The following is a 15,541-nucleotide window of genomic DNA, read 5'->3' on the forward strand; positions in this document are numbered from 1 at the left end:
TGGAGGCTCAGTTTCCTTACCTGTATACTGAGAATTTAAAGGACCTAGCTCACAGGGTAATTGTCAAGATCAAATGAGATAATGCTGGTGAAGCCCTCAGCCCCATTCTTGGCATATGGGAAGAGTTCAAGCAATATCAGTTGTTGTTGTTATTATTACTACAAGGATTCAGCCATTTGTAGTAAGAAAGTTTCCTTGCTTTGTGGTGTGGGGATGTAGGGGAGATGGCAGTGAGAAGAGTACTCCGAGTTTCTAATCACTTGTCTGATTACAAAGAGATAAAAATATTTTGGAAACAGAATGGCCAGGGCTGAAATCTGGGATTTAAAAAAAATTATTATTATTATTTTATGTGACCGTGGTCACATAGACTTCTCCAAGCCCATTTCCTCATGTATAAAATGGGAATGATCTCAGTGCCTACCTTACAGGTGTTGCTGGGAGGTCGGAATTATATAATGCATATGTAGTGCTTAGCCCAAGTGCTCAGTTGTTGTTGGTCGTTAATTATGAGGTTTATAACGACCTGAATGCCTCCCTTGTCAAACTCTACATCCCTATACCTAGGCTACTTGAACTTCACCTGGAGGCTTTGCCCTATCCAAGGCTCAGGGACCAATTCTCCCCTTAGACTGAGGGTTTCTCCCCTTAGACTGAGTGCACCAGTTCAGGAAAACTGGAGTACTCTGGTAAACCTTTCTGCTAGCTCTACTCTGACCTTGTGCCCCAGTTCTAGAAAGCAGGCTGTAGCCATGTTTGTATGAACAAGCCCTCAGCTGGTATGCTCAAGGCTGGTGTGCTTTTCTTGCTAGCTGTCTGAAATCCATGGAGCCTTTCTGTTGAATCCTAGCCCTATGGCAGGGATACCGGTCGCTGGATTTTTCTCCGTGTCTGTGACCCTGGGGTAAATTGTCTTCGTTATGATCACCATTACAGGGCTCTATTAAGGTGTTTGCTTGCCAGCCCCCACTGTCCATCCTCCCAAACCCTCTTTCCCTGCACCTGAACCTCTTTGAACGTTTCTGATGCTGCTCCACTCAATCTCCAGCCTCAGTTTCTTTCCCTCGAGCCCTCTGCCTGTGCTTCCATGTCATATCAGTTGCAGTGCCTGGGTCCCAGGACTCCTGTGTCTGTTCAACTGCAGAGGGCACGTATCTTGTTTCCTGAGCCAGGACCCTTTTCATCTCATCTTTTTAATTGTGTCAATCTCCTCTTTTCTTTGGGCAGAGTGGGGTGGGGCATAGGCTGGTGGGACTGTTGGGGGCGACAGGGAAGAGGGGTGGAGTTGCATAGGCCAAGTGCTAAGGCGGAGCTTCTGGAGGACTGTCAAGTGAAAGGCGGCCAGAGGCAAATGTCAGAGCCTATATAGAGGCAGGAATCTGGGACCAGAGAGACAGAGCAAGCAGTAGCAAGTCAGGAGCAGTGGGGCGGGTGGGCGGGCAGGCTGGCTGGCGGGCAGGGGGGCGTGGCAGGGGATAGCAAAGGGAGATTGCAGAGAACAGCTGTTGGTACTGGGTCTTACTTTAATGAACTGGCTGGGCACGAGGTATAAGTTAATTGGCCAGAGTGAAAGAGCTAGGGGCGCAAAGGATACTCTCTCCCTCTTCTCCGTCACTGGCAAGGTAAGATCTTTCTGGGTTTTGCCTGGTGGGAAACTGTGGCATGTTCAGATATTTTTCTGAAGATGGGAGGTGGAGGTCTATGGCTGCTTTTTTGACTCATCTTTCCCATTGCACCAATTATTACAATTATTACAATAACCAGGGTGTCAGCAGGAGGCCAGCATTTCTTTTATGACAACCCATCTTGGGGTTGTCCAGGCTGGAGACAGAGGCAGGGGTCTCGGTAGTGTGACTGAGTAAGGGGGAGAGGTGGATCTTTATAGCACCTTGGTGAAGAGTAGGGGGCTCTGGAACTGGATGGACCCAGGAATCTATGTGACTGCAGGCAAACTATTAAGCTTCTCTGGGTCTGAATTTTCTCATTTGTAAGATAAAGGAAGAGTACAACCGAAATCTCTTAGTGTTGCTATGGGAACCACATGAGATGATACATGTAAAGTGCCTAGCAGAGTGTTTGCCAGTCAGTGCATGCTAAAGAAATGTTCACTGTTAGCGTTTCTGTTGCAGGTTTTCTCATTATTATGGAATCACAATTCCATGAGGTTGATGACTTTTGTGACATTGTCCCAAAGTAGCAAGTTTTCTGCTTTTGGCATGGGCAGGCTGTGGGGACATGTCAACATTGTGTAATATTTGCATTGGCTTCCAAGCCGTGTGTCCAAAAGCCCCTTCTGGGCTGCTTATTGGAGCAGGCTGGAGGGGTGAGGCTCTGGATTGCCCACCCCCATGGCATCAGAGAAACTTGAAACTTGGACATGCCAGACACTGGGCTTTAAGTGACCCATGATCTGGGATGTCAGAGAAATAATTGAATGCAAGCTCAGGGATGCCAAACACTAGGCAACCCCCAGGAGGGGGTCAGAGTCAATGCTATACAGTTTGTTACTGTTGCAGTGACCCTATTTTAGCCTTGACCCTGGCTAATCTGAGAAAGCTTGTAAAATGGGGATAATAATATCTATTGCCCAGGAGATTGTAAGACCCAAATGGGATAATGCTTACAAAGGCCCTCACGTTATAGGAAGTTGTGACAGTTGTCTAAAGTACAGTGCCTGGCACATACTACGTGAAGCAATAAATAAATAGTAGTAATGGGGTGGTGGTTGCTGTTATTAATAAGAATAATGAAAATAATAAGCAGAATTTTCAGTTCATGGAATGTTGCTCTCAGTCATTGATTAGATAAATGTCTCCCTTTTCCTGAGAACATTCAGGGCCATCAGAGTAGTAAAATGAGGATTAAACCACTGGCAGAATTCAATGAGCCCCAGGAACTAATAATTATCCTGGGGCAAAGGACTTTCCCATTCAGGCTTGCCAGTACCTTGGCTGGCTTGTGAGTACTGCCGTGGGATAGAATACAGGCCAGGAATCCGCATTTCTCACATTTGGCCAGAAGGTGGTGCTGCTGCTTTATTTGAGTCAGGACTGCCCAGGCTCCTGGCTGCGGAGGCTGCTGGCGTTTATAGCATTTACAAACTGAGAGGCTGGGTTGGTTTGAAAAGGATAGAGGCAGAAGGGACATTTGCTCCAGCTCCAAAGTTGTTCATTGCTTCACAGCTTCTTTAATCTGATAGCCTCACCTTCAATGCCATATACCTGACAACGCATAAAAACAGGTCTCCACCATGAACAATTTGTCTGTTTCCAAATCTTCTTGATACTGGCTTTTGACCTCTAAACTTGTTTCTTGTTTACAGATTTTCTTGCCTCCTGGGCTCCCTCCACACTATCCTGTGGCTGTGGCAGATATGTCAATACCCTTACATTCACTGCGATTCAACAATACAATGAGGGAGGAAAATGTTGAGCCCCAAAACAAGCAGATGGCCTTCTGTAGACCAATGACAGAGACCAGAGCAGACGTACAGATTCTGCATTCTCATGTACAGTTGCCTATAGTCTCAACTTCAGCCTCAGACCCTGGAGGGACATCCACACAGTTGATGACATCTCCAGTCTTTGACACCATGTCTGCACCTCTAATGGGAGTACCAAACTCTGGAGCATTGTCCCCACCCCTAATGCCAGCCTCAGACTCTGGGGCACTTTCCCCATTGCTAATGCCAGCCTCAGACTCTGGGGCACTGTCCCCATTGCTAATGCCAGCCTTAGATTCTGGAACATTGTCCCCATTGCTGTCCACTTCAGAGTATGGGGTAATGTCCCCAGGGATGATGACAATTCCTGATTTTGGAACGATGTCCGCAACGCTAATGGTAGCACCAGATTCTGCAGAGATATCACCATTGGCAATGCCAGCTCCATCCTCTGGAGTGGTGTGTACACCTATAATGAGCACTTCATCCTCTGAGGCAATGTCCACACCATTAATGCTAGCCCCAGATTCTGGAGAGTTATCCCCAATTCTAATGCAAGATATGAATCCTGGAGTGATGTCTACACAGCCAGTGCCAGCTCCCAGCTCTGAGGCAATGTCCCCATTGCAAATTACAGATGAAGACACCGAAGCAATGTCCAAAGTGCTAATGACTGCTCTAGCCTCTGGAGAGATATCTTCGCTGCTAATGTCAGGCACGGACTCTGAAGCAATATCCTCACTGATAATGTCAGCTGTAGCTTCTGGAGGTACATCACCCCAGCCAACAAGCACCCAAAACTCTGGGGGAATACCTACCCCGCTCATGTCAGATCTAGACTCTGGAATAATGTCATCGCTTTTAATGTCATCTCCAGGCTCTGAAGTAATGTCCACACCGCTACTGTCAGTCCCAGATGCTGGAGAAATGTCCACATTACCAAAGCCAGCTCCAGATGCTGAAGCAATGTCCCCAGCACTAATGACGGCCCTACCCTCTGGAGTGATGCCCACCCAAACGATGCCAGCCCCAGGCTCTGGGGCGATGTCCCCATGGTCAACACAAAATGTAGACTCTGAAATGATGTCTAATCCGCCAGTGAGAGCAACAGCCTCTGGGGTGATGTCTGCACCACCAGTAAGAGCTTTAGATTCTGGAGCAATGTCCACACCGCTAATGGGAGCCCCAGCCTCTGGAAATATGTCTACATTGCAAAAGACAGTTCCAGCCTCTGGAGCCATGACCACCTCACTGATGACAGTCCCAAGCTCTGGAGTGATGTCCACAGAGCAAATGTCAGCCACAGCCTCTAGAGTAATGTCCGCACAGTTAACAATGGCCAAAACTTCTGGAGCAATGCCCACAGGCTCTATGAAAGCCGTGGCAAAACAATACAAGAGAGCCACAGCCTCTGGAAAGATGTCCACGCCACTGAGGAGAGCTCCAACTTCTGGAGCAATGTCCACCCAACCAGTTACGGCAACAGCCTCTGAAACAATGTCCATGCCACAATTGACAGTCCCAGCCTCTGGATCAATGTCCATGCTGCAAATGAGAGCCCCTGTCTCTGAAGCAATGTCCATGCCACAAATGAGAACCATGGCCTCAGGATTGACATCTGCAGCACAGATGAAAGCCATGACTTCTGGAGCAATGTCCACCCCACTAATGACAGCCCAAACCTCTGGATCAACATCCACGCTGTTAATGAGAGACACAGCCTCAGGAGTGATGTCCTGTCCACAAATGAGATCTCTGGCCTCTGGAGCATTGTCCAAGCCACTAATGACACCCAAAGCCTCAGGAACGATGTTCACGGAGAAAATGACAACCACAGCTTCTGAAGCAATGCCCACACTGCTAATGAGAGACACAGTTTCTGGAGCTCTGTCCATGCCGCAAATGACAGACACAGCCTCTGGAGGGTTGTCTGCATCGCTAATGAGAGACACAGCTTCTGGAGCAATGTCCACATCACAAATGACAGCCACAGTCTCTGGAGGGATGTCCATGCCACTAATGAGAGCTCAAGACCCAGGAGTAATGCCTGCCTCACTAATGAGAGCCAAAGTGTCTGGAAAGATGCTCAGTCAGCCAATGAGCACCCAAGATCCTGGAGGGATGTCCATGTCGCCCATGAAGTCCATGACCGCTGGAGGGATGCAGATGAATTCCCCAACCTCTGATGTGATGTCCACACCAACAGTGAGAGCCTGGACCTCTGAAACAATGTCCACACCACTAATGAGAACCTCAGACCCTGGAGAGAGGCCCTCACTGCTCACAAGAGCTTCATCCTCTGGAGAGATGTCCCTACCACTAATGAGAGCTCCAGCTTCTGGAGAGATAGCCACGCCTCTGAGATCCCCAGCTTATGGAGCCATGTCTGCTCCACAAATGACAGCCACAGCCTCTGGAATGATGTCATCCATGCCACAAGTGAAGGCTCCCATCTCTGGAGCAATGTCCATGCCACTAACAAGATCCACAGCCTCTGGAGGGATGTCCATGCCACTGATGAGAGCCCCAGACTCTAGAGTGACATCCACATCACAAATGATGCCCACAGCTTCTGGAGACATGTGCACACTACCAGTGCGAGCCCCAGCCTCTGGAGGGGTGTCCTCACCACTAGTAAGAGCTCCAGCCTCTGGAACTATGTCCACACCACTAAGGAGACCCTCAGCCTGTGAGACTGTGTCCACAGAGTTAATGAGAGCTTCAGCCTCTGGACATATGTCCACTGCACAAACAACAGCCATGGTCTCTGGAGGGATGTCCAAGCCATTAATGAGAGCCCCGGCCTCTGGAACAATGCCCATGCCTTTAATGTCAGCCATGGCTTCTGGAGAGATGTCTATGCCGCTAATGGAAACCATGGCCTCTGGAGCAACGTCCACATTGCAAACCAGTGTTGCGAACTCTAGATCTATGTCCTTGTCACAAACAACATATACCGTGTCTGGAAGGATGGCCACAGCGCCAATTAGAGCCTCTGCTTCTGGAGCAAGGTCCACATCATTTATGAGAGCCTCAGTTTCTGGATCGATGCCCATGCCACTACCAAGAGCCACAGCCTCTGGATGTGGCATGGGTATGTCCATGCCACAAATGACAGCCACAGACTCTAGAGGGATGTCCACACCACTAATGAGGGCCTCAGGCCCTGGAACAATGTCCACACCACAGACAGCCTTTGGAGTGATGTCCACTCCGGAAATCAAAGCCACAGACTCTGGAGAGGCATCCACCTCTCACATTAACATCACAGCCTCTGGATCAAAGCCCACATCGCACATGACTGCCACAACTCCTGAAACTGCGAAACCACCACCAAAGGAAGTGCCATCCTTCGGAATGTTGACCCCAGCACTCTGCTACCTCTTAGAAGAGCAGGAAGCAGCCCGGGGCTCATGCTCTGTGGAGGAAGAGATGGAGATTGATGAGGAGAAGCAAATGAAGGGGTTTTTGGACGATTCAGAGAGAATGGCATTTCTGGTATCTCTTCATCTGGGAGCAGCAGAGAGGTGGTTCATCTTGCAAATGGAGGTAGGAGAACCTCTCTCACATGAAAATAAATCTTTCCTGAGAAGATCCCAGGGCATATATGACTCCCTATCTGAGATAGACATCCTCAGTGCTGTTCTTTGCCATCCCAAACAGGGCCAAAAGTCAGTCAGGCAGTATGCCACTGACTTCCTGCTGCTGGCCCGACATTTGTCTTGGTCTGATGCCATTCTACGGACCAGGTTTCTGGAAGGACTCTCAGAAGCTGTTACCACCAAAATGGGTCGGATCTTCCTGAAGGTGGCTGGCAGCCTAAAGGAGCTGATAGACAGGTCTCTGTACACCGAGTGCCAGCTGGCTGAAGAGAAGGATTCCCCAGGCAACTCAAGCCAGGTTCTGCCAACAGCCTGTAAGCGGAATAATGAGGAGGCCATGGGGAATGAACTGAGCTCTCAGCAGCAGACTGAGGAGGTAATGAGGGGGAAATCCGCTGAAGGTTTTTGAGCAGAGAAATGAGGAGGTCACGACAGGGAATACATCCTGCTTCCTTGAGTAGAATTGGGAAGAGGCAAGGGGGAGGCATGGAGCTCCTAGACCATTAAACCCCAGCAGTTTCATCAAGTGAGCATGGCTCTGCAGTTATTTTGGGTATATTAACTACTTTGAGGAGCAATGTCCTGCCCAAGTTACTGAGAACGTGGGATAGTTGAAGTACTAATTCTTCTCATTATGAGGGAACTGGATGGGCTCAGTTCCAATTCTCCCCTTGTTCCAAGTCCAATTCTAATAAATGGGTCTTTTGGGAGCTGGGGCCCATCTACAGCAACATGTGTTGTGGAGTCAGGTCACTAGGGAATTAGAATAGCCTACTCCTTGGTCACACTGTATGCAAGTGAGATAAATTAGCAAAGTGTCTTGATCTGCTAAGTCACAGAACTTATCCAGGCAGAACACCCGTTGCCATAGTAAGTGTGGCTCTTACCTCTGTTGTCTTTTTCTCACTCCCAGCACCAGCATGTTTCCAAACGCTGTTACTACCTGAAAGAGCATGGAGACCCCCAAGAAGGTCTTCATGATCACCTTGGACAGAGCACAGGCCATCATCAGAAGGCCCATACCAACAAGTAAAACTCCATGGAATCTTCTCCTGTGATATCTGACTCGACCGCTAACTGGAGGACTGGTTCCTGGACCCATTCCATTAAACTACATTATAAACCTTGTTGCCTTCACCCTTCAGCCTCCCGCTCCAGGCACATCCCACCTTACCTCTCACTTGGCTGATTTGACCTTCTCTTTCACCCACATGCCTAAGACCTGCCCTGACAATCAGAGTAGGGACTACAAGAGTGTATGGTGTATGAGGTTCTGAACTCCCATCACCACCGAGGCCAGTCCTAGTTCTTGGTCCAGGGAGAAGTCTAGGCAGGATAAATCATATCTTACCTCAAAAAACCCTTAGCGTATCTTGCCATGTGTCAGCAGGCAAACTTGAGGAAGCCCTGGTTCTATTTCACCTGGCAGGGGAGCCTATAAGGAGAGCGATGCCCACTCCTATACCACCCTTGTAACCCAGTAGACTTGCCCCATATGCCCCAACTCATAGCACCTAAAATGGGTCTCCAGGGTCCTTGCCCTGTTTATAGTATCCATCCTGAACCATTCGTTTTGACCCATAATAATAGTGATAGTATAATGGCTACCAGTTATTGATAATGTATCATGTGACAGGCATTGGGCTAAACTCTTGACAAGCACCATCTCACTACATTCTTACAGTAACACAACTTGTTCTTGTGTTGTCAGCTTCTGACCTCTTGATCTGTTGTTTATGGCCTTTGTCTTGTCCCTCAGTGGGGGTTCTCTAGCTCTGACCTCTGGGTGACCCCCTCAGTTGTTGATTGCTCTCACTCCCCTTGGCTGTTGTGCTTCATGGCCAGCACTCTTGATGAGGGTCTTGGTCTATAAACAGGCATAGATAGCTAGAACATAATGTGAGCAGTGTTTGCCTTCAGGTGGTGGGGTTATGGGTAGTTTTTATTTTCTTCCTTCTACTTCTCTATACATTTCAGATTCTCTACAGTAAGCATGTGTTACATTTGTAATTATAAAAGTAAGTAAACTTCATTTATGAAAAAAGAGTTCATTGTGGCTCCTAGAATTTGATTTACTGAGTCCTTTATTCAACCAATATTAGTTATGTAACTTATGTCAGCTACTCTTTGGGGGACAGACGGATAAGAATCCTGCTGATATGAACATTCCATTCCAATGGAGTGGGGAGAACAAGAACACACTGAACTTAGATTGGAATTGTGAAGGCTGTGAAGAGAAGAAATCAGGACAATGGGGAATTTGATGCAAATAAGACCAATTTATGTATTCAATAGTAGTCCATATAATTGAGTTACTCAAAGATCTTTCAACAATAGTAGGAGAGACATGATTAGAAACTTATTTTATATAGTTAAATTGGCAACAGTTTGGAGACAGGATGGAGGAAGGGATCAGAGAGCAGCTGAGCCCTCTACTGCAATAGTCCAGGTAACTGACTGGCTAGGTGACTCAATCTAGGGTGGTGGCAGCAGAGATGATAATTCAGGAACAGAGACCTAACCTTCTCTGAGGACTCAAGTCCACTGCTCCAGGACTCAAGTCCACTGCTCCATTACCCTAAACTTTGTGTCTGATTTCAGGAAGAGGAAAATGATACTCAGGAAAGACAGATTGGCAGATAAATCGCCAGCCCCATGATACTGTACATAAGAATCTGGCTGTGTGGGTTGCCTGCAGCTGCCTCAATCACCAGTGCTTTTACCTCAGGAAAAAGAAGGTGCAATAAGTCAGGAAATATGAATTCCAGAAAGAGAGATGGCCAGCCCCTAGGGACCCAGCTTTCCCCTTCTTCTCTGGGTCTGTTGGCTTACACCTAGCCCAGTCCAAGACTGAGTGGAGTTTGGACGTCCTTTTTCAGCCAGGCTTGCTTTTAGCTAGGAAAAGCACTGTCGAGTTTTCTCTCTGCTGAAAAAGAAATGGAAAACATAGAATTCACAACCTATGCCTGGAAAATGTATACAGAAAGGACAGTGTCTTAAAAATGAACCTGATTTTCTTATAGCCATGATAATGGAGAAGGATGGCAATTCTTTATTTTTCTCCCTAGCCATTCTTCTTCTTTTTGTTTTTGCTGTCCTCTCCTTCAAGCTAGCATCACTAGAGATAAATGGAACAAATGAAGCCCAATCATACCCTGCCAGAGCTCAGTCCCTGTTCTTCTACCCATCCTAAAGGTTTTATTTAGAAATGTTTCAAGAGCCCCTCAGCATCTACGTGGAGCTGGGCTATCATATGCCCAAGTACTTGACACCATTTCATCTGCTATAAAATGGGGTTTCAAGTTTCTCCAGGCCTCACTGGTCCGTGGGTAAAAATAAAGTCCCATAAGTAGGAAAATCTTGGATGTCATGGACCCCTGTCCCCACCTGTGTTACAGAATCTCAATCCCTTGAAGGTTTCCCCCAATGATTTGTGGCAGATTTCAGAAGTTTCACATGCTCTGAGATAGTCCTCTCCTGTTGTTCTTTGACTCCTACCTTGCCCCATGGGGGTCAGCTGCCCACATTGCCACCTGAGGGGAGCCACTACACCCCACCTAGATACTGGCGGGTGCTTCTGGCTGTGAGAACACAGAAATCCCTCCTCAGAGGAGGCGTGGATTCTGGAGTGCTCACAGCTGCACACCTGAGTGGAGCCTTAGTGGTGCTGCCTTCTCTTTGGTAGCCTTGGCTGATGGAACTGATGGCTCCCCCAGAAGGGTGGAAATGCCTCTTTGAATTCCGTGCCACACATTATTACCTGGACACCAAAAAAACATTGCTTCTACCACGCGTCTCAGTGAGGCCCCCGTGAGAAAAACAGCTTCAGCTTCTACCTGCAACAACATCTCCCTGCCCTTGCTCAAACGTTCAGACTTGGTTCCTGTGTCAAGAACAAAGGCCCTCAGGTCCTCTATCCAGACCCACACTTCAGCCCCCATTTCTGTGTTTTTCTACCCGGTCTCTACTCCCGCTGAGTAGAGACTCACCCAAGGTGCTGTAAGTCCAGATCTCTTCCAAATCACTTTGTTCCAGGTGATGAAATGCCAGGAACACTCTCCACACAACCAATCTTTGGGGCACAGCTGGAGAGCAAATGTCAACCTTTCCTCTTCCTTCATCCTTCTACCATCCTCTCACCCACCAACCTCATCTCTGTTTCTGCTCCTCAGGGAACAGTATAGAGAACTTTCTCTTAAAGACCACTATTCCCATACAAGTACAGGCTCAGGTTGCTGCTGAATGATGAATTCCTCAGACAGTTTCAGGTCATTTCTGAGTTTCACTTTGGGCTCAGCCAGGCTCAGTCCACTGGACTACTGGACTACACTGGACTACTTTGATCAGCTCAAATGAGGGACCCTTCCCCTCCATTTCTTCCAATACGCCATTGCTTCAGACATTGAGGCACTCTCAACCTCATTCTCCAATCAGAATATTACAGATAAAATAACTCATGCTATAGAGAGACTGGCCCCCTATGGATTGTGTGTTTTCTTCCTCCTCACATGGTCTGAAAGCAACTTGAACAACTGTGGGACAGGGGAAGCAAGCTGCTAGATCTCTTATGACCAAAGGGAAGATTTGTAGGAGAATAGACATTATAGTAGTTTGAAATGACACTGGATGGAGAGACTTTTCTTTTTCTTTCCTTTTCTTTTTCTTTTTCTTTTCTTTTTTCGTATTTTTTTTTTTTTTTTAGACAAAGTCTTGCTCTGCTGCCCAGGCTGGAGTACAGTGGTGCAATGTCAGGTCATTGCAACCTCTGCCTTGTGGGTTCAAGTGATTCTGGTGCCTCAGCTTCCCGAGTAGCTGGGATTACAGGTGCCTGCCACCTTGCCTGGCTAATTTTTGTTATTTTTAGTAGATATAGGGTTTTGCCATGTTGACCAGGCTGGTCTCGAACTCCTGACCTCCAGTGATGTTCCCGCCTTGGTCTCCCAAAGTGCTGGGATTACAGATGTGAGCTACCACGCCCAGCCAAGACTTGACTTTGAGTACTTCTGTCTCTCCCTCTAACAAGCTGGATAGTTTTAAACACGTAGGACACTGTATCTCTTGAGACTTCAGTTTCCTCTTCTCTAAAATAGGAGTAATTATCATTGTTCTGCAAACCTCACAGCATTGTGGGGTAAAGATTTGTGATAGTGCTTGGAAAAATCAAATGCAAGACATACAAATGTAAGATCTTGTTATTGTCTGTTGAGGGGGATCAGAATATGCCACCGCCAAATATGTCACTTTAGCATTGTGATTATTTTGAACTGAGGGCAATTAAGAGGTGCAATTAAGGAGTAGCAAATGCAGAAAGAGTTCTTTGCACCCCCATATGCGTTAAAGTAGGACATAAATTTCCCTTTGTGAAGATGTTTTTCCTTTCCTCTCCTGTACCATGAAAAAACAATCATCATCACTAGAGACAGAAAGTCAGCATGAACATAGGTCTGCATAAACAAACTTTTCTAAAATAACCTGTATCTTCTATTAGTTTCATATATATTATATATAGTACATATATTATATATTATATATATATATTTTATATATATATAGTTTTTGAGGGTACAAGTGGTTTTTGGTTACATAGATGAATTGTATAGTGATGAAGACTGAGATTTTAGTGCACCTGTCACCCAAGACACTCATATATTTACCTTCCCACAATTTACTTCCCCTAGAAGCCCAAGCCTCTTTTCCTTTGTCTTGTCACTTCTCCATAAATTGTCACCCTTTGTTAAAATGGCATATAAGCCTCTGGATCTTACCACTTCTTTGTGTCTTCAGTTATTTTCTCTGAAAGCCCCTGTGCATGTAACAATTGAAATATTAATATCAAACAAAATTTGTATTTCTTTCCTCCTGTTTAAATCTGTCTTTTATTAGTGTAATTTTCAGGTCCCAATTACAGAACTAAGAAGGTAGAGGAAAAGAATGTTTCCTCTCTTACACTTGCTTGGCCATGAGGGTGTTGGGAAGTGGATGGGTTAGGATAGGACTAGTTGGGACATCTTCAGAATCCAATCTCTTTAGGGGTTCTATTTAAACTGTGAAGGCAGGTTTAAAAGTAAATCCAACACAGAAAACTGGCAAAAGCCATAGTTTAATATTAGCACCTATGGAGCACTTAACTACTGAGCACTTAACACAGGCTCAAGCTCTGGACTAATTACATTATCTAGATTATCTCATGTAATCTTTACAACAACCCTGAGAAGTGGATGGTCTCATTAATCCTATTTTACAGACCAGGAATCTGAGTCACAGAAAGGCTAAGTAACTGGCCCAAGGCTGCAGAGCTAAGAGGCAGCAGAGCTGGGATTTGAGCACGTGCAGTCTGACCCTAGAGCCTATACATGCAATGCTCCACTGTATGCACAGCTTTGTTATTCAGAACCAGATGGCTCTTGTAAGCATTCACCCTCTTCTCCCGAACAAATTTGCCACCGAACAGCGACCGATATTTGAAGTTCATAAAGTTGGAGGCCTGAGCAAAAATGGCCCTGCTTTTCTCTTTCCCTGTCTTAGATCCAGATGTGAATCTTCCTGGAGGTATTTGGGGAATGTCTTCAATATTCAAGGAAAAGTATCAAAAATTGTGGAATTTTATTGAGCTCAAGAGATTCTGCCAAGGGTCTCACTGTAGCCTCAGAGTGCAGTAGTCTCTGTTCTGAGCTCTGGCCTAAGAAGGAGGATAAGATTCTCTCCTAAACATCTTCCCTTTGAGCAGATATACGTCTTGGACCCAGATTGTGTGTGGAAGGGTATAGGATTCTGAAAGTGGAAGGCATTTTTATGGTTACACCAATAGCTGACACTTCTTTCTCATCACTTATTTCTCCCTCCTTTTCACTTCTCCCTCAGGAAAGGGGAAATGTGGGTAAGGAAGAAAAATGATTAGTCCTTTAGATACTCCATATTGCTGCCTTCCAACAGCACCCCTCTCCCACGGATGGTTAACCTAGTTTTAACGTCGAGGGGGAATACACACACTAAAAAGGCACCAGACACTTCTGGTTTTAGCAACTTGGTAGATAACCTAAAGTGGTTTTTCCCATTGGAGACTCAGAGAAATGTTGGGTAAAGTGTGAGAAAAAACTCACAACTGAGCCTGACATAAAGAAGGAACATCCCCAGGGACAAAAAACAAAGAGGTATCTTAACAGCAGACCAATAAGTTGTTGAGCTCTCTAAGGCTTGTGTAGTGGAGTGAGAAGAGATCTAGGCTAACTACATACAGTGTTAGAGGAGCCAAACTCTGGACCTCTATATTCCATATACTCTGCTCTGCTCAACTATCATGCAAGAATACGAATGAAACAACAACATTTTCTGACAAAACTGAGACAATTCACCATTCTTAAAAAACGTGCTGTACTTTGAACTAGGCTGGGCCTGGGACAACAGACAAAATTTTTAAAAAAGAAGCCCCTGCCCTTTGACAAACTTTGCTGAAAATTTCACTGGTTTAAGCACTGATGTGTAAGTGGATATTAAACAGAGTGACCCTTGCTTTCCCACAATTTCCTCTAATAGCTTTTTAAAAATTTATTATATTTTGGTAACAGCTTTATTAAGACATAATTCACATTCCATATATGTCACCCATTTGAAATGTGTAGTTCTGGCTGGGTGGAGTTGTTCACACCTGTAATCTCAGCACTTTGGGAGGCCTAGTAGGGAGGATCACTTGAGGTGAGAAGTTTGAGACGAGCCTGGGCAACATAGTGAGATCCTGTCTCTAGAAAACAAAATTTAAATTAGCCAAGTGTGGTGGCACATGCCTGTAGTCCTAGCTACTTTGGAGGCTGAGGCAGGAGGATTGCTTGAGCCCAGGAGTTTGAGGCTGCAGTGAGCTATCATTGCACCACTGTACTCCAGCCTGGGTAACAGAGTGAGACCCTGTCTCTAAGAAAATAAATAAATAAAAAGTAAAGTGTATAGTTCAGTGTTTTTTAGTGTATGCACATAGTTGCAGACCATCAACATAATCTAATTTCAGAACATTTTCATCACCCCAAAAAGCAATCCCATACAATTGCATTTCTGTGATGGATAATGATGTTGAGCTTCCCTCTGATATGTTTTTATTACAAAGATAACCATCCTGCAACATATTGACATGAATATTGTTGGGAGGCTCCGCTCTGGAGAATATGCTGGGAGAAGCCGTGGTACTCTTTGCTCTCTAGCCCACCCCTAAATGTGCTATTGCCTCAAACCACTTTAGGATATTGGTGAGTTTAGAGAGGCAGATACTCCTGGCCCTGCTTAGACCCATAACAACTTTCAGCTGCTGCCTTGTGCAACAGAGATTACCTAAGAGCAAAGGTGAGTGTGGGCTTATATTAATATTTTAAGGTTTGCTGGAGGCCCAGGAACTTGAACTGAAAAGAGAATTCCCAGGGAAATGTGGCCTCTGTCTTGCGGATTCTTCCTCCTTCCACCAAAACCTAAAATAACCTAAACGCAGAATTCATTACTGTGGTCATTCATTGGA

At 45.9% G+C, this 15,541-nt stretch overlaps 1 protein-coding gene across 10 annotated transcripts in view; it reads left to right on the forward strand.

Moving 5' to 3' along the window:
• The window catches only part of RTL9 (retrotransposon Gag like 9), a 97,487-nt gene extending 88,397 nt beyond the window's left edge, over positions 1–9,090 (forward strand). For all 10 annotated transcript variants that reach the window (XM_047442284.1, XM_047442283.1, XM_017029695.2 and 7 more), the window contains 2 exons: positions 3,323–7,420; positions 7,958–9,090. In XM_047442284.1, coding sequence (XP_047298240.1) covers positions 3,374–7,420; positions 7,958–8,077 — 4,167 coding nt within the window. In that variant the 5' untranslated portion in view covers positions 3,323–3,373 and the 3' untranslated portion in view covers positions 8,078–9,090. The remainder of the gene's footprint in view (positions 1–3,322; positions 7,421–7,957) is intronic.

This window comes from Homo sapiens, chromosome X (assembly GCF_000001405.40).
Source record: "Homo sapiens chromosome X, GRCh38.p14 Primary Assembly".
Taxonomy (NCBI): Eukaryota; Metazoa; Chordata; class Mammalia; order Primates; family Hominidae; genus Homo; species Homo sapiens.